The sequence below is a fragment of the Homo sapiens genome, chromosome 2 (genome assembly GCF_000001405.40).
Source record: "Homo sapiens chromosome 2, GRCh38.p14 Primary Assembly".
NCBI lineage: Eukaryota > Metazoa > Chordata > Mammalia > Primates > Hominidae > Homo > Homo sapiens.
Window position 1 is genome coordinate 86603374 of NC_000002.12, and position 21374 is coordinate 86624747.

The 21374-nt window shown below is 39.6% G+C and overlaps 2 protein-coding genes and 1 long non-coding RNA gene across 6 annotated transcripts in view, besides 6 other annotated features; 1 reads left to right on the top strand and 2 right to left on the bottom strand.

Annotated features, from left to right (window-relative positions):
* Window positions 1–14076, top strand: part of CHMP3-AS1 (CHMP3 and RNF103 antisense RNA 1) — a 55380-nt gene extending 41304 nt beyond the window's left edge. For both annotated transcript variants that reach the window (NR_183900.1, NR_183901.1), the window contains one exon: window positions 13803–14076. This is a non-coding gene — a long non-coding RNA (CHMP3 and RNF103 antisense RNA 1). The remainder of the gene's footprint in view (window positions 1–13802) is intronic.
* RNF103-CHMP3 (RNF103-CHMP3 readthrough) overlaps window positions 1–21374 on the bottom strand; it is a 217693-nt gene that overhangs the window by 99944 nt on the left and 96375 nt on the right. The window contains exon 3 of the mRNA NM_001198954.1: window positions 16957–17096. Coding sequence (NP_001185883.1) covers window positions 16957–17088 — 132 coding nt within the window. The 5' untranslated portion in view covers window positions 17089–17096. The remainder of the gene's footprint in view (window positions 1–16956; window positions 17097–21374) is intronic.
* On the bottom strand, window positions 20–20504 carry RNF103 (ring finger protein 103). 3 transcript variants are annotated; one of them, NM_001198951.1, is made up of 5 exons: window positions 20443–20504; window positions 19288–19454; window positions 16957–17096; window positions 8786–8901; window positions 20–2045 (listed from the first exon to the last, which is right to left on the bottom strand). In NM_001198951.1, exons 1-5 carry the CDS (start codon window positions 20487–20489, stop codon window positions 470–472), a joined length of 2046 nt encoding a protein of 681 aa, NP_001185880.1. In that variant the 5' UTR covers window positions 20490–20504; the 3' UTR covers window positions 20–469. The 3 variants fall into 3 exon arrangements, with proteins under 3 accessions (NP_001185880.1, NP_005658.1, NP_001185881.1); NM_005667.4 differs by having other exon boundaries at window positions 25–2045; window positions 19288–20492; NM_001198952.2 differs by lacking the exons at window positions 20–2045; window positions 8786–8901 and adding an exon at window positions 13044–14640 and having other exon boundaries at window positions 19288–20492.
* Window positions 13919–13968: a silencer, noted in NCBI's record as "silent region_11714". NCBI's record gives its function as "represses an Ori minimal core promoter by ATAC-STARR-seq in GM12878 lymphoblastoid cells {active_cell/tissue: GM12878}" and the evidence as "EXISTENCE:reporter gene assay evidence [ECO:0000049][PMID:35858748]".
* Window positions 19313–19362: a silencer, noted in NCBI's record as "silent region_11715". NCBI's record gives its function as "represses an Ori minimal core promoter by ATAC-STARR-seq in GM12878 lymphoblastoid cells {active_cell/tissue: GM12878}" and the evidence as "EXISTENCE:reporter gene assay evidence [ECO:0000049][PMID:35858748]".
* Window positions 19543–19622: a silencer, noted in NCBI's record as "silent region_11716". NCBI's record gives its function as "represses an Ori minimal core promoter by ATAC-STARR-seq in GM12878 lymphoblastoid cells {active_cell/tissue: GM12878}" and the evidence as "EXISTENCE:reporter gene assay evidence [ECO:0000049][PMID:35858748]".
* Window positions 19893–20432: a silencer, noted in NCBI's record as "silent region_11717". NCBI's record gives its function as "represses an Ori minimal core promoter by ATAC-STARR-seq in GM12878 lymphoblastoid cells {active_cell/tissue: GM12878}" and the evidence as "EXISTENCE:reporter gene assay evidence [ECO:0000049][PMID:35858748]".
* Window positions 20393–20687: an enhancer, noted in NCBI's record as "tiled region #3990; K562 Activating DNase matched - State 1:Tss". NCBI's record gives its function as "activates a minimal TATA promoter and a strong SV40 promoter by Sharpr-MPRA in K562 cells {active_cell/tissue: K562}" and the evidence as "EXISTENCE:reporter gene assay evidence [ECO:0000049][PMID:27701403]".
* Window positions 20513–20682: a silencer, noted in NCBI's record as "silent region_11718". NCBI's record gives its function as "represses an Ori minimal core promoter by ATAC-STARR-seq in GM12878 lymphoblastoid cells {active_cell/tissue: GM12878}" and the evidence as "EXISTENCE:reporter gene assay evidence [ECO:0000049][PMID:35858748]".

Sequence of the window (21374 nt, forward strand, 5' to 3'; positions counted from 1 at the left end):
TTTAACATTGGAAAATCTGTAATCTTCTGGTTTTAAAATAATTTATTTCATAGGTCTGTTTTAATTTCATGTCTCACAGCATACATTATTTAACCAAGAGGTGCTGGACAGAGATTGTAAAAAGGGAGGAAACATTTAGGATAAGAAACCGGCTCAATTCCATTAGAATTTGATCCTATCTTGTAAAGTCTTGCTAGGATAAATTTCTATAATACTTCTTTTGTGCTTACAAAAAAACATTAACTTCTGAATTTCCAATGTTGTAAATAAAAAAATTTTACAATTAGGTATGCATTCAATTAACACACAAGGCAACCAAATAAATTCTGTCATCAACATTAGCATAATGTGTATTTCCCGTCACTGCACTAACATTAAACTAAACTTCAAACCACAAAAACATTGTGACTAACATTAAAAAGGCAAGCTGTAAGATACTCAAAGCTTATAAAGGACAAATTGCACATGGTTAAGATGGGACATCATTTGACAAGGGCTGGTGTTGTGCATATGGCTGCTTTTTTTTATAAGAAGGCCACCGGCAAACAGGGCAACAATGTCGGCCCCCAGCCAACCACATCACAATGCAATTCTGATGAAACACATGACCACAAGGCAACCCCATTAGCAAACATCCATTTTCAAAATTCTCTAGGCAAACAACACATTCAGTACAGTGCAGCATATCAGCAGGCCAAGTTAACCAATCAGGTTCCATATCTTCATTAGTGTTATATGATCCATATGACCTCCCCTTCCTTTCACATGGGCTGGTCTGACAATATTTATTGGCACATGAACAAGCCTCAGCATCACAGTGACTTGCTGTTCCTGGAGAATTGTGAAGTACGCTTTGCTTATCTTCAAATACTTCCTTCTCACTACTCAAAGTGTCTGTGTTCTCACTTTCCGAGTCATTTTCAGTATCTTGAGACCCCTCCGACATTTCCTCTTCAGACTGGACTCCAAGACATTTAAATCGCCACATTGGTAAGTTTTTAATATAATCAGTTGGTATCAGAGGGTGAAGCCAAAGGTCAGGGAAAGCTAAGCGCTCCAAGAATAAGTCAGGGTCTTCGTCCCAATCAGATTCTACAGGAAAGTTCTGAAAAGAAGCAATCGGGTGGAAGAGGTAGCTGGTGTACCAGTCCCACAGACTTGATAACCATTCTAAGTTATTGGCATTGACTTCATCATTGTTGTTGTTGCGCCTTCTCTTCTTCTCAAAGTAATCAATTAGTAAACCATGACCAAGGTATGTACTGAGAAACAGGGCTGGGTGTGAAGAGTAAAACATCCAGTCTGCCCTTACCCATGAAGCCAGTGTGGTTGTATTGGAATATCTCAACAATTTTAAGCTATATTCATAAAAGCTATCTAAGTAAGGTAGCTGTAAAAAGCCCAACACAGGTAGCCAGGAAATAATTAATAGAGAATTATATGTCCCTAAAGTGCTTATGAGAACCACAAATCGCTTTATGGTAGCTCCTTGTGTAATAAATAAGTCCATCCAAGCCATAAGATTAACTAGAACCAAGCTCAAAACAAACAGATCATTTACCTCGGGTTGTAATGAGCGCAAAAATGAATCCATGGCCTGAAGGGATATAAATTCGCCTGTGTGGTTTCCATACCTGTAAATTCCTTCAGGAGTTCTAAGTATGTATGATGGCATATTATATATGCCAATATCTGTCATATAACTCTTGTTGTCCCAATTTTCTACATTAACAAAAATAAACTCAACTCTTCCAGTAAACTTTATACTTAGTGCAGAGAAGAAAGCTGGGGGCTGGTCAAGGTTTGCAAATAGGTATATTTTTAACCAATACTGATCACTTTTATTCCATTCTTCTTTCAAGTGTTCAGCATTATAAATGGTTTTGATCCGAGAAGCTGCATGAGCAGTTATCCATTTAAAAATGTGCTCTACTTCAATCTTGCGTCCACTGTATTCTTTAAGCATGACTTTCCCTTTTGAAGTACTTGTTTGTGGAACAGACATAATGAGTGTGGATCGGACCCAGCCTCTTCTCCTGCAATATCTACAAGAGAGGAAACTGTAAATAAACAGCTAGGCTGTAATGCAAACAATTTATCTTCCCTGACAAATTTCTTTAGCACCTCACCCCAAAGCCAAATAATTTCCAAATAATCAAAAAGTGGTACCACTACTTGGCAGCTGTGAAAAACAAGCTCTGTTTTTCTAGTTTGTTTTGTATTTCTGTGTTTCTTTTTTTTTTATTAAATAAAGTGTATCTTGAAAAGCCTCTGAGTCAAAGGAATCAGCAAATACTTCAGCATCTCTCATGTACCTACAACTGCGTTATGTGCTAAGATCCAGAAGACAAGAAAATAATTCATGTTCAGAAGGAATTTAAAATCCTATTAATGAGACAAAATAGAGATAAAACTGTATATATTCTGTTGCTAAATAATGCAAAAGAAGTTCAAAGTTTGGGCTGGTGCAGATTTCATGAATGGTTTAGGAATTGAACTAGGTCTTGAAGGATGGTTAGAATCCAGATGGGTGGAGAAAAGAGAAGAAAACAGATTATCCTAAGGCTGAGTCACTGGTTTGGTGCAAGCTCCTTGAGGGTAGGAGTCATGCTTACCCATTTAATTAACAACTACCACAATGCCTGACTGCTACAAAGTAATCTGCACAAAAGCCAACCAAGAAAAGAGCAACAGCAAGCCCCATATATTTTTGTATTCTCTTATTTCTTCAGTGAAGATCATGAAGGGGAGTATTTAACAAGAGGAAACAAAAACAGGAAGTATTTAGATTAAGAGGTTCACTTCAAGAATGATCCCCATTTTACAGCAGATTATATTCAGAAGAATTTAACTAAAATTAAATCATTCATTTAGATTTATGCAGTAGGATCATGACTCTTCCTTTTGGAAACCTGTCTATTGACAGGTTCTTGCTAGGATATTTGTGATATCCATCTTCCCTTAAAAAAGTAGGTAATGAGAGAAAAGAAATATTAAAAACTGAAAACAGGCTGGGTGCAGTGGCTCACACCTGTAATCCCAGCACTTTGGGAGGCCAAGGTGGGCAGATCACAAAGTCAGGAGATTGAGACCATCCTGGCCAACATGGTGAAACCCCATCTCTACCAAAAATATAAAAATTAGCTGGGCATGGCAACGCGTGCCTGTAATCCCAGCTACTTGGGAGGCTGAGGCAGGAGAACCGCTTGAACCCGGGAGGCAGAGGGTGCAGTGAGCCGAGATCACGCCACTGCACTCCAGCCTGGGCGACAGAGCAAAACTTCGTCTCAAAAAAAAAAAAAAAAAAAAAAAAAGAAAGAACAATGAAAACAGCTGTTGTATCCCAGTAAAGAGACTGTAAGTGAAAATATTTTCCTTTTGTTTTTATTTTTTAATTTTTAGTTATTTTATTTTTATAATAAGAGATAGGGTCTTTCCCTGTCACCTAGGCTGGAGTGCACTGATGCAATCACAGTTCATTGCAGTCTTGAACTCCTGGGCTCAAGCGATTCTCCTGCCTCAGCCTCCTTGAGTAGCTAGGACCACATATGCACGCCACCATGCTAGGCTAAGTTTTAAAAGAATTTTTTGTAGAGTTGGGGTCTCACCATGTCGCCCAGGCTGCCTTTTGTTTTTGGTTTTAGTTAGTTTTTCATGTACCACACAGAAGAGTTAATCTTTTGTTTTTAAAAAGTATTTTTTTTTCCAAAACCTACCATGTGAAATTTTTAAGTAAAATTTACCTCAATAAAGTTGTAAAAAAGACAATCTACCACATGGAAACGTTTTATTTGTTACAGATTTGTATATGCATAGTAATAAATATCTGACTTCGCATTTTGCTACTCAGAATATTGATGTAAAAGTCATAGATGTTATGCTTTACTTAGCATGGATTATATTTTATTAAATAAACATATTACACATCATATGATCAGATGAAGAGAAGAGTCTTGACGTAGGTAGCATATGGCTGTATAATGATAATATGACTAATTTTATCTCAGGGATTCTGTGATATAGTTTAAGATAAATGAAGACAACACGCTATGTCTTAAGACAAGGTTAGTGATGACTCTGGAAAACTGTCTAGGTGACTCAAAATCACAGACTGTGACTCTTAGCTTCTTGTTGAGTTGATTCACTACCTTAATAAGACAGATTCCATTAATATCATTACTGTTTTAACTGAAATGGTCTGAAAAGTATATATTCCTACAAAATAAATATCTTCTACTCAATGCAAAATAATAATTCATTGATTGACATGAATTCTATTTTTACCGTATCCCAAAAAAGTAACAAGTCAAATGCATATGGACAACTGTCTTATTTATATCTTAAATATCTTCAAGTATCTTTAATGTTTTCATTGCACTTGATATTTGTGATGACACATTTCAACTCTTGGCCATCTATTTTATCTTCCTACTATGGCCTCTGATTTGTGTCATAAATTAAATGACAGCCTTTCTGACAGAAAACTTACTTTGTAAAATGAACAAGTTCTAAGTGCAGACATTTCTTCACATAAGAAAACAAACATATTATGTGCTTTCTTTTCAGCTCAGAGCTAAGTAATAATTTTATCATTCCAGATAGAATAAGGTTGTATTACCTTACATCAATATAAAAACTTTTATTGCCAATTCAAAAAAAATTTTTTTATGATCTGAACAAATTCAATGACAATACCATGAAAATATCCTCTAGTTTTTAAACTAAACCTTTTGAGTTCTCTTAGAGAATTTTAAGACTAAAAACGATAGGAAATATGCCTTGTGAGTTTTGGTCTTCCAGTTGCTGATGTGGCATGCTATATTTAAGAAGAAGCAGGGCTCAGTGGCTCACACCTGTAATCCCAGCACTTTGGGAGGCCAAGGTGGGTGGATCACTTGAGGCCAGGAGTTTGAGAACAGTCTGGCCAACATGGTGAAACGCTGTCTCTACTGAAAATACAAAAATTAGCTGGGCATGGTGGCACGCACCTGTAATCCCAGCTACTTGGGGGGCTGAGACACAAGAATCGCCTGAACCCAGTAGGCTGAGGTTGCAGTGAGTTGAGATCGTGCCACTGTACTCCAGCCTGGGCAATAGAGTGAGACTCCATCTCAAAAAAAAAAAAAAAAAAAAAAAAGGAAGAAAGGAAGAGAGAGAAACCTTAACATTTCTGTTTATATATGCTGTTTTTTCAGACAAGGTCATTGGCCTCCTTGGTTTTCCTCGCTCTCTCTGCAATCCCCCCTTCTCTTCTCCTTCCCCGTTTTTTCCACAGGCCACCATCCCTGACACTCTTGCCATAAGGCTTCCTGTTTACCACTCAGCTCCTGCAATTTCCATGTCCTCTATCTTCTCTTTACTAATCCCCATCTCCCCAACCCTCTCTACACATCATTACCACCTCATCTCCTACTTTGTCAAAAAAAGTACAGAGTATGAACCTCACAGGAAAAGCCCTCTGAAATCGATCTGCTGGTTAGGGAATGAGAAGAGGTAGAGCCAGGCAAGGCCACTCCTTCTGGGTACATAGGGAAAGAAATTAAAGCTGCTACAACTAGACAGTCAGAAGTTGCTCAGAAGTGGTAGTCCTAAATGTTCTTAAGGGAGCTACTCTGGTTTGGTTATGGTTTGTCTGTCCCCACCAAACCTCATGTTGACATTTTCTTCCCAGTGTGGCAGTGTTGAGAGGTGAGGCCTAGTGGGAGGTGTCTGGGTCATGGAGGTGGATCCCTCATGAACACTTAGTGCTGCTCTCAAGTTAGTGAGTTCTAGCTTTGGCAAGACTGAATTAGTTCTTGTGGAAATGGAGTAGTTTCCTCGAGAGTGGGCTGACATAAAGCCACATGCCCTTCACATGTGTCCACTTCCCCTTTGACCTTCTCTACCATGTTCTGGCAGCACAGAAGCCTCACCAGAAGCTGAGCAGATGCTGGCACCATGGTTCTTATACAGCCTGCAGAACAGTGAGCTAAATAAATCTATTTTCTTCATAAATTACTCAGCCTCAGGTATTTTTTTTTTTTTTTTTTGAGACAGAGTCTCGCTCTTGTCACCCAGGCTTGGAGTGCAGTGGTGCAATCTCGGCTCACTGCAACCTCCACCTCCTGGGTTCAGGTGATTCTCTTGCCTCAGTCTCCCGAGTAGCTGGGATTACAGGCACCCGCCACCACGCCTGGCTAATTTTTGTATTTTTAGTAGAGACAGGTTTCACCATGTTGGCCAGGCTGGTCTCCAACTCCTTACCTCCGGTGATCTACCTGCCTCAGCCTCCCAAAGTGCTGGGATTACAGGCGTGAGCCACCACTCAGCCTCAGGTATTCTTATACAGCAACACAAAACAGACTAAGGCAGGAGCTAAACAGGTCAGGAAAGTACAGCTGTACAGTGGGACCAGCACACTGAAGTCAGCTGCCCAGAGGCCACCCCAGAGAAGGGACTACAGTCAAAGAATGCAGCATAGACAGTGGGGCACAGAGTTTTGGTATTTTTAAAACTCCAAAATCAAGATGATGACTCAATTATTCAAAATATGTGATTAAAACACTTCCTGAATAACACTATTCTCTGCCCACTTACACCCTGCATTGAAATTCTGAACACTCTTCTCTATATCTCTAAATTTTGTTCTTCTATATCTCCATAGTCATCAAAAGAAAAGAAAAATGACCCTGACTAAGCATAGCTTCTATGGCAAGAACAATTCTTATTCCAGTTGGAGGACTTTCCAAATGAGGAGTCATGGGCACATTATTGGAACTGGTACAAGTCACTGTGCAACAAAATCATTTTCTGATGAAGCTGAGTAGAAGTACTTTTTTAAATAACAAAAACTATAGCTACAATCAACAAAAAAGCAAAAAGTTATCCAAAAAAACATTGCTTCAATTGTAAATAAGAGGTAGGATTATTTGAAGATGAAGGATTTAGAGGAAAACATCTGGAGCTAGCTTGTATGTATCTCTTCACCATTTCTCAGCTAATACAGAATCAGAGCTTTTCAAAAGAAGAGCTAAATAAATTTGCACTAAAATCCACTGGACTGAATTATGATACTTCTGATGCACTCTGATTTATAAGATTATAAGATTATGGTTTGTCTGCCCCCACCAAATCATTCTTTCAGTTTTTCACGTTTAACAGATTATTTTTATTTTGTTTTTGAATTCTTTATTATCTAATAACATTAGACTTTAATTAATGCATTCAACTTTATATATTTTTAAAATGTGTTTTTATTTGATGTTTTCTAATATATTTATAAACTATAATGTTTGAAATGTATTATTTAGTTCCACTGATTTTTAAAAAATACATTGGGTATTTTAAAAGAAAATAGTGATATGAATACTGACTTTTGGCATAACTAAAAAAATCAAAATATCAGCATTATCATTTGTTCTAGTATTGTAAAAATCAGTGAGGAAGAAAAAGACCTTTCACTTTGACTCTATTTGGAAATGATGGAATCAGATCAAATCCTAAGTCTTTGGTAAATGACGAATGGAGATCAGAATGATTTCCTTTTCAAAAGAACATTAAGACTTAAGCTATCTCAGACATTTCAACAAAAGACATTGGGATGTGACTAAGATTCTGTGGTTACCAGCCTGGGCAACATAGCAAGACTCCATCTCTACAAAAAAAAAAAAAAAATTAGCCAGGTGTGGTGATGCATGCATGTAGTCCCAGCTACTTGGAATGCTGAGGTGGGAAGATCACTTGAGCCCATCCATCAGCTGGAGGTTGCAGTGAGCTATGATCACACCACTGCACTACAGCCTGAGTCACAGAGCCAAATCCTGTCTCAAAAAAAAAAAAAATCAGAAAAAAAGACTTTGTGGTGAAGATGAGCATGACAGCTTTGCAGGTAGATAAGGAGACTAAATGTGAGTTAAGAGATACAGGAACTTCCCTCCTATTCCCAACTCTTAGAGGAACTCTACCATCCATCTCACCCTATATTACTAGTGGGCAAAACAAGGGTTCTAAGCAGAAGAGAAGTAAATGTAAGGCTAAGGAAAGGAGGTATAGTAATGGTTTAGGAGAGTTTTCTACAATCAATGAATGAGACTAAGTTATAACTTGGTAGCAAGAGAAATGGAAAAAAAGGCATTTCAAAGAAGAAATAATGGAATAATAAAACAAGAAATAATGTGACAGACTGAATACTGGAAATGATGACAAAAAAACAAAACATAAACAAAAACACCTCTGAGGATTCTTATTTGAGAAAATGGGGGGGAAAACCGGCGAAGGACAGAAAAAAGAAAGGTAGAAGGATACATGGATGATTAAAGAAAAAGAGGATGAATCTGATTTCAGATACTAGGTTTCAGGGAAAAGAATATATCTAGGGATAGTTGCAGAGCAAATGGAAATAAGCAAAGAAATGCAAACTAGAGGTCAGAATGATAGAAGATTTATATCAGCACAGAGGTGTCACCTAAAGCCATGAATGTGCTGAGATCTCTTTGGAAAAGAAAGGTGAAATGAAAAGGACTAAAGACACAATCTTAAGAGATATCTTCAATAGAAAAAACACAGAAGAGCCAGAGAAAGGGACGGGGAGAGAGAGGGAGATAGAGGAGACAGAGAGAGATCTTAGAGTGAAAGTCATTAGCTGCCAGTTTATCAAAAACCATTAATCAAGCACCTATGTAACTAAGAGTGTGCTACACATTATAATAAGCTTTCAGTTCAAGCAGGCTTCTAGTATCATTGCCCTTTTTAAATAAGAAAGATCCTGGTCAGGACTCAAATTCTAAGAATTGCCTAATCAACTTACCTGGGATCACTGGAACAGTTAAATGTGCCTGTACGTATTCCAAATCTTGACACCTTTTTAACCATTTTCTCCCAGTGAATTTTGCCCACCAAGGGACTTCTGTCATTTGCTATGACCTATTCCCAAAAATAGAGAAAAAGAAACTTGAATTACCTAAAATGGAGTCAAGCCAACCGTTTACATCAACAATATAATTTCACTTAAAAAAAAAGATATTCTGTTCCCAGTTCTTGTTTACTGTATCATCACATTATCATTACAATTCTTATAGAAGGAGCAACTATCCAATAGGAAAAAGACTTGAAACACTGAAACGTAAATTAAACTCTCCCACACTCTGTGGCAGTTACAAAGAGAGGGAGGGAGTCAAAACTGTATTAAAAGGCTAGCCACATTCTCCACCATGTGGCCTCTTCTCTCTAATTAAGTTACACAGGAAGAAAATGGCCCTTGGAATAATTTCTCTTTGCTCTGAAAAGAAAATTTTAAACAATAATCCAAATAGAGCTTACTAAAAATTATCACATGTAGGTTCAACAAGTTCAAATTTCACTTTTTAAAAAGTATAATTATGGAGCCAAGAGTCAAACACATGTTTTCTATTAAAGGGTGCTTTGACTAAATCAATAAATACTACTAGTTCTATGGCTTTTTGCTTAATCATGAACGGCTCTAACATACAATAAGAATTACCATTCTTCTTATTCATTCTTTAATGTAATGAATTTTACATTATTGAACTTGTACTTCAAATTTGCAAGAGCTTTCAAACACAATTAGGATTAGGAAAAGCAAAAGATTCTTAAGAAAAGAAAAAGAGGCCAGGTGTGGTGGCTCACGCCTGTAATCCCAACATGTTGGGAGGCCGAGGCAGATGCATCACTTGAGTCGAAGAGTTCAAGACCAGCCTGGCCAACATGGCAAAACCCCGTCTCTACTAGAAATACAAAAATTAGCCAGGCATGGTGGCAGGCACCTATAGTCCCAGCTGCTCAGAAGGCTGAAGCATGAGAATCACTTGAACCTGTGAGGTGGAGGTTGCAGTGAGTAGAGGTTGCACCACTGCAATCCAGCCTGGGTGACAGAGCAAGACCTTCAAAATATGTCAAGACTTCTCTTATAAGTGTCAGCCTTTCTAATCATTACCACCTTTTCCCTTTATCTCCTAATCTTCCTGCCTTTAATGAAGGCAGAATTTCAATGCAGATACCAGTAAAAACCAAAAAACATTAAAAACAAGACCATAAAAATAACTAAATGGGAAGTTAAAGGAAAGCCAAAAATGTCTAAAGTCATCATGAAACCATCTGTTTAAGTCCAGGGTATATAGGCCAAGTTTATTTTCATAAATGTTATATTTCTGATACTATACAATTCAAAATTACAACATAATACTCTGGGGGCCTCTACTCTTTCTGGGAGGAAGGACCATTTTCACACTCACAAAGCCTCCAGGAAGTGAAGTTGCAGGTGGGTGTGTAAAATGAGTGCTGACAGTCAACTCCTTGGGAGACGCAAGAGGTGGTGCAGCCACCTCATCTGTGGCCTCTGTGCTAGAACGTCTAACAAATGTCAGAGGGCAGCAGAAGAAACAGCACATTGTGATGACAAGTGACTTGAAGTTCACTTTATGTGCCAAATAACCTCTGTGACACTCCACTACCATCCTCATACTTACCGAGACACACGTGCATACATAACATCTTATCACATAAGTTTGAAGCTTAATGAATACATATACACAATTTAGGGCATTAAGCAAATGGTTTTGATATTACATTTTTTTTTAAGGGACAGGGTCTCACTCTGTTCCCCAGGCTGAAGTGCAATGGCTCAATCATGGCTCACTGCAGCCTCAAATACCTGGCCTCAGGGTTCCTTCTGCCTCGGCCTCCCAAGTGTTGGAATTACAGGCATGAACCACTGCACCCAACCATGGTTTTGATAGTACTTTTTAATGAAAATAAGTGGTCTTATTGAGGCAGATACAATTTATTCAAATACTCAGACAGCTGAAGTAACCAGGAAGAAGGCAATCTGGGGACATGCACTTAATAGGTGAAAGCTCTTTTGAAGGATGCTCACACGTTTCCCTACCCAGTAAGTCCCTAGCTTTACATTTTTCTCTGGTCCAAAAGTACTTTATAAGTTTTACCTAGAAGGCCAGGTACAGTGGCTCATGCCTTTAATCCCAGCACTTTTGGAGGCTGAGGCTGGTGGATCATTTGAGGTCAGGAGTTCAAGACCAGCCTGGCCAACATGGCGAAACCCCGCCTCTATTAAAAAAAACAAAAATTTGCCGGGCGTGGTGGTGCACACCTGTAATCCTAGCTACTTGGGAGGCTGAGGCAGCAGAATCGCTTGAACCTGGGAAGCAGAGGTTGCAGTGAGCCGAGATTATGCCACTGCACTCCAGCCTGGGTAACAGAGCAAGACTCCATCTCAAAAAAAAGAGAGAAAAAAAAGTTGTACCTAGAAAATTAGGAAGATCAAGCAAAGCAGGCGCCTATTGCCTCTTGTTCTTTATTTTATTTTATTTTTATTGCTACCACTCAAGAGTCAATCTGGTAGTTCTTTTGGTCAAATAATCAAAGACAAGTTTAACTTATTTTTCAGATTCCTTAGGAAGATTAAGAAGTATCTGTGCAATCATACTACCATACTCTCTACTCTTTGCCCTCTTTTAAAAATAACTCACTTTTCAGGCATTATCCCATTTCTTGATCAAGGTTGCAAATAACCCAAACATTTCAGGTCTGTGTGCAGAATGACACTGCTCCAAGGAGTTTAGAGGTTGCCTCGCCAGTGTAAATATTTAGTTCCTAAGTCTGGAGGCATCTTTCAGTGAAGATCTTGTTCACTGCACAGGTATCTTTGAGACATGTGATAAGAGCTCCAATGTTAGGAAAAGAAGGAGGAATGAGAGGGGTTCTTCCCAGGTACCTCTTGGTTATAGCAGAGATAGTAGAAGTGAGTGAAAAGAGTTGGGAACATACCTGGGGCAGGTACAAGACAATGTTCAATGCCAGGGCCTTATTTATTCAGCAACGTGTTCTAGCATTTGGTTTTGAAGAGTTTAAGGATCCCTGACTGACAGAGCTACACAAAAATGAAAAATCTTGTAGGCATTGCATGAAAGCATTTTATATTACTTTATAGTTATATTTATGCAATTAAAAATGTGTCCAATGTCCTACATAGTTATATAATTCAACTGAAGGTTTAGCATAAATTAAATTTGGTGGAGTTTAAATTAACCAACCACTATAAAAATGCTAATATTTTCACAAAATAACTCATCTGGTTGAGTCACACAGCACAACAAAATATTCTCAGCCTAATATATATATATACATATGCCTTATATATATATATATATAATATATATACACACACACACTATGTCATACCAGTAAGAGTCCCCAATTTATAGCTCATATCCTAGAAGGATGCATGATGATTCTGAGTGGCATTCATATGGCTGGTCTCATTAAAAGGGGAGACATTTTCCTCAGCAGCTCAGGAAGGAACACTGTATGTGGGGAACATTTTTAAAGACTACAAAAAAACTGGACAAAGTACAGCTTGAGTTCCAGGTGTGGAACAGACCTGGCAATACAGGCTAGAAGTGAAGCAATCTTTCCATTCCCTTTCCCAGGGTATCTGCCTCTGGCATCCCCACACTTGCTCACCACTGTAGTCCCTGCAGCTAATACAGTGCCCAACTCATATGGGTGCTCAATAAGTATTTATGTCAAACCAAACAATTTCAGCTTCTTACAGTTTAATAACTCATTCTTCTAGTTCTGATTACACAGAGTCTCTAAAGGAAACTCTTAAGCTTTTGATTTCTGTTATAATCAAAGTCCCTTCCCCAGCAACCTGTACCAAGATGTTTTCTGGACAAACAGTGGCATAAATGGTACCCTGCTAAGCAACTGCATATTAATGTTCTTGACCTCAGTCAGACATAAAGATGTTTAATTCAGTGCATTTTAAAATGCCCATTATTTAGAGGTGAGGTTTATTACTGATCAAACCATGTGGCATACCCCTTTTAATACTGTTAATCTCCATACAACGACATCCAGGTTTAGTTAAGTAACATAACTCCCTGGAACAATGAGAGTATTGTGCTATGATATTTTCTGCATTCTCAGTATTTCATTATAATAGGGAGTCTCTACTTTCAAAATCATAAGCCAACCTAGTATATACATGCAAACTATATAAAACCATTAAGAGTAAGGACAAGTGATTGACAAAAAACAGTGGTCTTTTAATTTTTTTGTATTCTTACATAGAATTTATAAAATTTTTTACCAATACAAAATATAAGATAAAGTGGCTTGCTATGTGCTTCACCTCCATAGCAGTATCAAGAAAGAAATACGTAATTTAGAATCTCCTCGAACAAAACTTTTGTCTAGGAGCAAAGATAAACAAGTTTAAAATCAGCTATTAACTCTTGTCAGCCAAACAGGAAATATATTGATGTAATACTTCAGTAAATATTGACCCAAAGCTTTATTTTAAATCATATGATGCTTCTCACTGCTACCTCAATTCCAGTGACTTTAAATTCCATATGATGTAACACAGCCAGTAGGGAACAAATATGTCCTTCTTTGAACTATGACAAAAGTCAAAACGGAGAAACAGAAATGTTAGGAGGAGGATAAATCCATAAAACCCATAAATTATGCTAACTTCTCCACTTCAGAAGCCTATCCACTGTGCCATCTGCCTCTCTGACCAAGGGTCTTTTGAAAGAAAAGTAACCATCTTCTATTTGTAATGCTATGAAGACTGGGGCCAAAGAATCCACAAAACTGTTAAATGAATAGCTAATGAAAGATATGAGCTTGGGTTAGGGACAAAGGAGAAAAACAATGTTAGGAATAACTTAGAAAAAAGAGCACTTGGTTCTACATGTATTTCATAGTGTGTCATTGGTAAAGATGTCATATGTATGTTGCTACCTTGAAAACTAAAATAAATTCTGTTCACATTACAGAGACTATACGTAACATGGACCTGGAAAAGCTTAAAAATATGAAGAGGATTGAACTGGCTGCCATCTGTGCATCTTCATTTATGAAAACACTCCTCATAGACTTAAAACAAATGACAGAGAACAAATTAGTCAGCTTCTTCTAAAATACAGTGGTCTCCCCTTACCCTCAGTTTCACTTTCTGCAGTCAACTGCAGTCCGAAAATACTACATACAATTAGATATTCGGAGAGAGAGACACCACATTTACATAAATGTTATTTCAGTATACTGTTATAATTGTTCTATTTTTATTAGTTGTTGTTGTTACTGTGCCTAACTTACACATTAAACTTTATCACAGGTATGTATGTATAGGAAAAAACATAGACTATATAGGATTTGGTACTATCCACGGTTTCAGGCATCCACTGGGGGTCTTGGAACGCATCCCCCTCAGATAAGGGGGGACTACTGTAAACAGAAAATAACAACAATTCAAATTGTTAAAAACAATTCTTGAAAGTTATCCTTTACAATAGATTAATATATATGATCTGAGCTGAAAGAATGGCAAGCAATGGAGACAATATTTCTCTTCTGTTTCTAGTAGATATTTTCAATTTTAAGCATAGTTTTAAAAAGTACAACCCTCTTTTAAGGGCTTAAACCAAGGTGGCTGTGCTGATTGGCTTAGCTGGCTAGTTCACAGTGCCAAGGACAGGGTTTCAATCTCATTCTTCTCAGTTGTCCTGCCAGAGATTGTTCTTTCAGACCAGGCCAGCCATTTGACAGATGTAAGCCACTGGCCTCAAGGAACACAAGCCAGACAGTGGTGGTCAATGCAAACCTTGAGCATCACTGGAAAAATTAAGCAGGTGTCCTACTGCATTATTTCCATACATAGAAAAACCACAGAAATACATTCTATTTTTAAAGAGTTGTTTTTCAACTATTAATACCTATAAGGTTTAAAAATATTTTCAGAGAAAAAAAATTTAGCAACTAGAATTTATAATGCTACCATTTACTATCATTATTTGTCCTTCACTTCATTTGTCACCTTACCAGAGAATTCCTTGCCACTCTCATCTCCTTAATCTGCTTATTTTTCTTCTTACTACTTTCCACTAACTGATGTTATATTAAATATTTATTTATTTGGTGTCTGCCTCTCCCAACTAGAATGTGAGCTGCCTGACAGAGCAAGGCCTTAGCTTGGTGTGTGTTTCTGGTATATCTTCAGGGCCCAGAACAGGGCCTGGCACACCCACAACTGAATAAACTTTTGATGAATTCTGTCACATATTTATTACAGGAGCTTAATTCATGGATATCTTTAACAGGACATCAAAAACAGTAGATCATTTACAAGCCAAGAACATACTGCTAACTATTGAACCAGAATGTATTTGTTGTCTATAGGCAGCAGCCTATATAGCAAAAGAACTCAAGACTTTTGACATAGCCCTTCCAAGTTTCAAAGGTGTGCAACATCTTCACCATTTATTTCCATGGGATCATTCAATGTGGGTGACATTTAGACACTGAAAGCAGGGCAGTGGGACTGGCTATTCAATTCATCCTCAGTAATAAAATCTAAAATTATCAAAACCAGTGTCTTTCTCAATCAGACTATTAGAAATAAGTACCAGAGAAAAGAAACAGAATAACAATATACTTATACATTAAAGCTTTAAAAAAGCTCCACCTTATTTTTCAACTCCAACTGACACAGAAATAAACTAAAATTTAAATAGATAATGTATAGACTACACTCATACTCTCACATTCTCTCCCATTGCTGAACTTAAAAATTACTGAATTAGATTATCCGGAAGGTAAAAGGACAAATGCAATAGGAAGGATACAATAAAGAAAGGCCATGGATGAACAATGTAAATCTCTGGAAGAATTCCCAAACCTCAACCCTTTAGCACAGTGGACTACAGTACCATTTTATCCTTTTTAGATGTATATGTATTTATTTGAGGCCACGTGCAACAGAAAAATATACCTATTTACAATCATACTGCTAGTCAGTGACAGTACCAGACCTGTAACAGCGACAGTACCAGACCTGCAACTAATGTCTCTGAACTCATAGCTTTTCCTACCATATTTTGCAGTCTTTACTCTCAGAAAGAAATATGAAGAAACTGTTTTAATTTTCATGCCCTGAATCAAACTTTGCCCACTCCAGTGTGAAATGATAAGAGTACCAGTCAAGAAATCAGAAGACCTGGGTTTCATCCTGGTTCAATACTACCAACTAGTTCCATGACCTTGGGCAAGCTACTTCACCTCTCAGAGTCTCAGAAAGGGTTAGTCTGATATAATTTCCAAGCTTCAGCCATTCACAGACTACATTAATAATTTTAGCCACATTCACGCTGTTAATTTACTTGATATGTCACTTTGAATGTACAGTTTTAAAATGTAAATAACTTTAGTCCTGTCCTAAGCAAAATTTATGAAATTTATGTTAATATAATTTTTCTAATTTACATTAAAATATGTAAATGATAATGCATGCCCACTCACCATAAATTACATCTTGGAAAGCATAAAATATTTTTAAGGTCCATCATAGCTCTAAAATTCTAATATGCTAATTAAGTCTCACAGTTTTGCTATCATAAAAACAAGGGTTAAAAATTATAATCTCATCATCCTGAGTTACGTAATGAGCACCCCCACCATTTTCCACAACAGCTCCTCTATAGTCACAAAGTTGGCTATTTCCCTAATACAATGATTCCTTTACTTTTACTTTAGGGTTCTTACTTATATATAAAAATTACTCAGGCCACTGAATTAAAAACTGGAGATAATAAAAACTAAGAGAAACAGTGCAAATCACTAAATAAAAGGGATATATATGTGTATTTCTCAATTCAACAAAGGTCCAATAACTAAAATAGATTTGCTTCTGGGGATTCTAAACAAAAAGTTGACCCCCATCCCCCATCTTTCTCTTTCCCACTACTCAATTTTCATCTTCCTCAGTCTCCAAAACCTTTTTAAGAAGATACTGGAGCCTCCCTAAGAGAACTGAGTTATGTGTGAGAAACAAGACACAAGGACACGGAAGTGTCACTGGCTGGTACATACTATTTTGGTAAAAATAATTTTTTTAGGGCTCTCGAATTATCAAATTATTACTGCTTTTCATACCTGAACCAGCCAGATGCCATCTTTTGTGTCTTCCACAAGCTCATAGAAGTGCATTTCACCACTGAAATTGGTACTAGAAACCGATTCGGATGCTTCTTCTTCCTTGAGAGCAGAATAGAGCTCACCCTCCATCAAGTCACCTGAAGAAAGGAAAAGAATAACACTAATAAGGTTGCAAGAATCCTAGATTCCCAATTTCAGTAATTCTATTTTTTACACTGTTAAGAATCATGATATTGTACTTTCATTGTATTTTATAGACAAGAACTACTAGAAGAACCTGGATATACCCACTTAGGAGTCATACATTCAATAAATATGTAGTAAGAACTTCCTATGCATCAGGGAAAAGTGAACAAAATAGACAAAAATCCATCTCTTATAGAACAGGGCTTATATTTTAGTGGGGTTATCACATAATTATTAGGAACTTACCAAATTTGTACCACTCCAAAAAGGCACAACTTTCTTAATTATTTAGTTTTATGAATGACACATACAGGCTTCATATACATTTTTAAACAGTATGGCTTATATGCTTCTTACTTAAAAGATGTAGAATTGGGTTCACAGAATTTGCCATCAGCCCTGCTTAAAAGAGCAACAGGGTTTGTATGACTTGGAGGTTAGAACTTTACCTGTTAGACAGAACAAACTCCATATTCATATACAAATTTATATTATAAATTTAGAGCTTGTATCATTAAACAAAAAGGAAAGGAAAACACTAAAATCAAATTATTTTAACTTTCGCCTTAAATATTAAACAGTGAGAAACCAAGTACTGCACCATGATAGCAGCAAAACCATTCACAATAAACACTTAAATTTTAAACTGCTATACCATGACTTTTCTGCCATAAAACGTGTGATTTGAGTCATACTGGGCTGTGCGTCTTAAAGTTAAATGTGGACTTCTAGTACATTCAATGTGCCAAGTATTTTTAGGCCCAAAAGAAGGCAATAATAAATAACAGTCAAAAGAAAAAAAAATGTGTGACCAAATTATTTTCCATAAAAAAATGATGGCTTTGGCAGTTGAGACACTTCTCATCTCTAAACCAAGAGAGTTTATTTATTAGAGATCTTTTACCCTAGTTACTCCACTTCTTCCCCCTATGGTAGAAATAAGAATCGCCATAAACCAGTCAGCAAACAAGGGGCAAGAATAATATACGATTTTATATTTTCTCTAAAGAAACATTTATCACTTCTGCAGAGTGTGTTCCTCTCCTCTACCCTAATAGTGAGATATGAGTTTTATAACCCGCAACCTACAAATATCCAAGTGTTAAACTGCTAGCGAGCTCATACTCTTGTCTATCACGCTACATGTCTATAAGGTACTAAAGAAGGAAAAGATTTGTCTTGTAAAAGATACAGCTGACAAAAATACTTGAAACAACAAAAAAGATAACCATCAGTTTCAGCTGCTTCCCACAGCAACGCAGAAAGCCTTTCTCAAATTACATTCCACTTTCAGGAAGTATATCCAAAGATATACTTTGTGCAGCAGTGAAAAAAATTAACCATATTTCTCACCCAATCCTACCAAAACCAACAATTACTAAAAACACATTCTTTAAGACATTGAATATTCTCTCAGCACTATTTCACGTATATTTCTCAACCCATTAAACAATGCAAGGGTACCTGTGACACAGAAGACAAAAAAAATTTTTCTTTTACACATCCAAGATGCAAATTTTTAAAAATCCTAACAGAAATATAATATAAACTCGAACATGGCAGGCATTTATACAAAATGCTCGCCTTATTTTCACCAAACTTAAAGTCTGAAAAGCTAATACTGTACGGTGTATACTGTCTATATTCAAACTCATGATTTAACATTTAAATCCTAGGCCCAAGTGCCTCTGATAGTAAGTATTCCAAAGATGTGTCCCCACTCTGGGTATCTTATTATTACTATCGTGACAAATATTGCTATTGACAGACAACGTTTTGGAGTTTTTCTTACGTTTTTATGAACTTCAACTGACAAATAATGCTTTCCAGTTTGTAACTAGTTGATATTCCAGAATTTTGAGAAAATCACTCAACTTAGTAAACAACGCTAAGAAGCCACACTTTAAACTGTCATTTTACGATAACCTTAAAAGGATACACCAACACTCCTCCAAATAATTTCAGACTCCTCCTCAAAGCTGGGATCCGCATACTTGATTGTAGGAAGCTTGGACGAAGAAACCTGGGCAGCTTTAACGCTTCCAGGAAAGGCCTCACTCTGGGGGAACAGCCAGGTACCAGGAGGTACAGGTCGTCCCCTCTCCCAGGTGGAGGGGACCCTAGGGGAAGCCCGATACTCGCCTGACTTTTCCACCAGCTCCCGGACATCCTTCTTCTCGGGCAACCCTGAGTAGCCCAACCCCCGGCACTCCAAAATGGTCTTCAGCTTCTTGAAGCTCAGCGCCACCGGATCCACCAGCTGGGTGGCAAAGATGCCAGTTTCATACCACACAATGGCCTCAAAAAACCTGGCCAGGACGAACAGGACCAGGAAATAGAGGAGCAAGAAAAAAAGCTTCAGCCACATCTTCCCTGGAGTTTCCTCTCTTTCCAGAGAGCTCGGAATACGGGAGAGAGAAGGGTCGAGGGCGGGGGCCGCGGCTCGGTGGCAGCTTGGGCGAGGGCCCCGTGTCCACGCGCGGGCCACCCGGCGCCGTCACTGGCCGGCCATCCCCGGCGGGGAAGCAGGTGACGGGATCCGCGCGGGCGCGAGGCGGCGACGAGGGACGCAGAGACGCAGAGCCTCGCGCCGGGCCTCCCAGTCAAGAGCCGACAAAAATAAAGGGGAAAAACTCAAAACCCCCATCCATTAAGCACAGAAAGGAGAGGGGCGCGGGGAGAGCTCGCGGGGAAGAACAAAACGAGGGACGCTTCCCCCGGGGCGGGCACTGACCCAGGTGGCGGGGTCGGCCCTCCGGTGCCGCGATCTCAAGGGGGAGGGGGAGACCAAAAAATAACTCAGATCCGCCCAGGAGGCGGGGATCCGGGCGGCAGGCCGGGGCCCGAGGGGCCGTGGGGGCCGGACTCCCGCGGCCGCGGGTCAGGAGGGCGCGGCGCTCGGCCGGGCCAGGCCCGGGGCCCAGCGTGTTCTGCGCGGGGAGGAGCGGCCGCCGCAACGCCGCGCCCGAAGCCCAGGCCCCAGGCCCCGCCGACCGCCCAGGCTCCGCGAGAAGAGCGGCGGGCACGGCGGCGGCTCCAGGTTCGCTCGGGCCGGCTGGCGGGCGGCGCCTCTCAGGCGGGCGGGCACTGCGGCCCGGCCCAGGATGGGGCGTCGCGGTCTCTGCAGATGGAATCGGTCTCGGAGGGAAAAAACCAATAATAGGCCCCGAGACTGCTCCTCCAGGCGGCTACCCGGCTGCCTCCCGGCCACTCAGCGCCCGTCCCGCTCGGATGGGCAGTGCCGGTCGCAGCACCCGTCCCCAACACCCCCGCCACCTCCGGAGACCGCGGCCGTACCCTCCACAACCGTGTATCAGCGGCGGCCGCGGCCGGAGCCGAGACATAACAACTGACGTCGCGATGAGGCGGGGCCGGGGCGGGGCCTGCAGGGTGCGCCCGCAGGGGCCGAGGGCGGGGAATTCGGGGAGCCGCGGGGCTACCGGACTACCGAACGAGGGGCGGGAGGAGAGGCGGAGCCGCAGCGTGGTCGGGGCCTTCCCGCGGTGCCGAAAGTTGCCTCTCCGTGCTTTTGCGGCGTGGTCTCCCCTTTTGCCCCTCCAATGTTTAGCAATTGATTTTGTCTGAGGATTAGTCTTTAGATTGTATCACTTTGTGTATTTTTTGTAAAAATAGAGCAGTTAATTATTCTCTTAAAATCGGTGAAAATAGAAATGTACGTTTTTTGATGAATCCTGGTGAACAGGGAAATTTTTGGCACAGTTGGTTTGAGATGGTAGAAGGTTAAACCCAGAAAGCAAATGTTTTGCCCCCTCTTCATGAGAATGTGGCTTTGCACATGTGTGTTGGAGGAGGTTTGGCCAAAACTGGAGTTCGCGTTATACTAGGCCCAGTTGTCGCTGCCAGTTACAGCCTTTTCCCTCCTTCAGTCTCAAGGGTGTTAAAAGCCTGGTGTGGACTCCCTGAGTTCCTAGGACAAAGATTGTCGAGTGTAGATAAGTCCAGGTGCAAAGTTCCGGGTGCTTTATTTTGTACATGGGCCTGGCACAGTGGCTCACGCCTGTAATCCCAGCACTTTGGGAGGCCGAGGCGGGCAGATCACGAGGTCAGGAGTTCGAGACCATCCTGGTTAACACGGTGAAACCCTGCCTCTATTAAAAATACAAAAAATTAGGCCGGCGTGGTGGTGGGCCCCTGTAGTCCCAGCTACTCGGGAGGCTAAGGCAGGAGAATGGCGTGAACCCGGGAGGCGGAGCTTGTAGGGAGCTGAG

Excerpts from the sequence above, each read along its gene's own strand:
- RNF103 (NM_005667.4), bottom strand. The coding sequence starts at position 19,513 with ATGTGGCTGAAGCTTTTTTTCTTGCTCCTCTATTTCCTGGTCCTGTTC. Across the intron at positions 8,902-16,956 it reads ATGGCATCTGGCTGGTTCAG|GTCATAGCAAATGACAGAAG; the intron begins GTATGAAAAGCA and ends TTTTGGGAATAG. Across the intron at positions 2,046-8,785 it reads AACTGTTCCAGTGATCCCAG|ATATTGCAGGAGAAGAGGCT; the intron begins GTAAGTTGATTA and ends CCTCTCTTGTAG.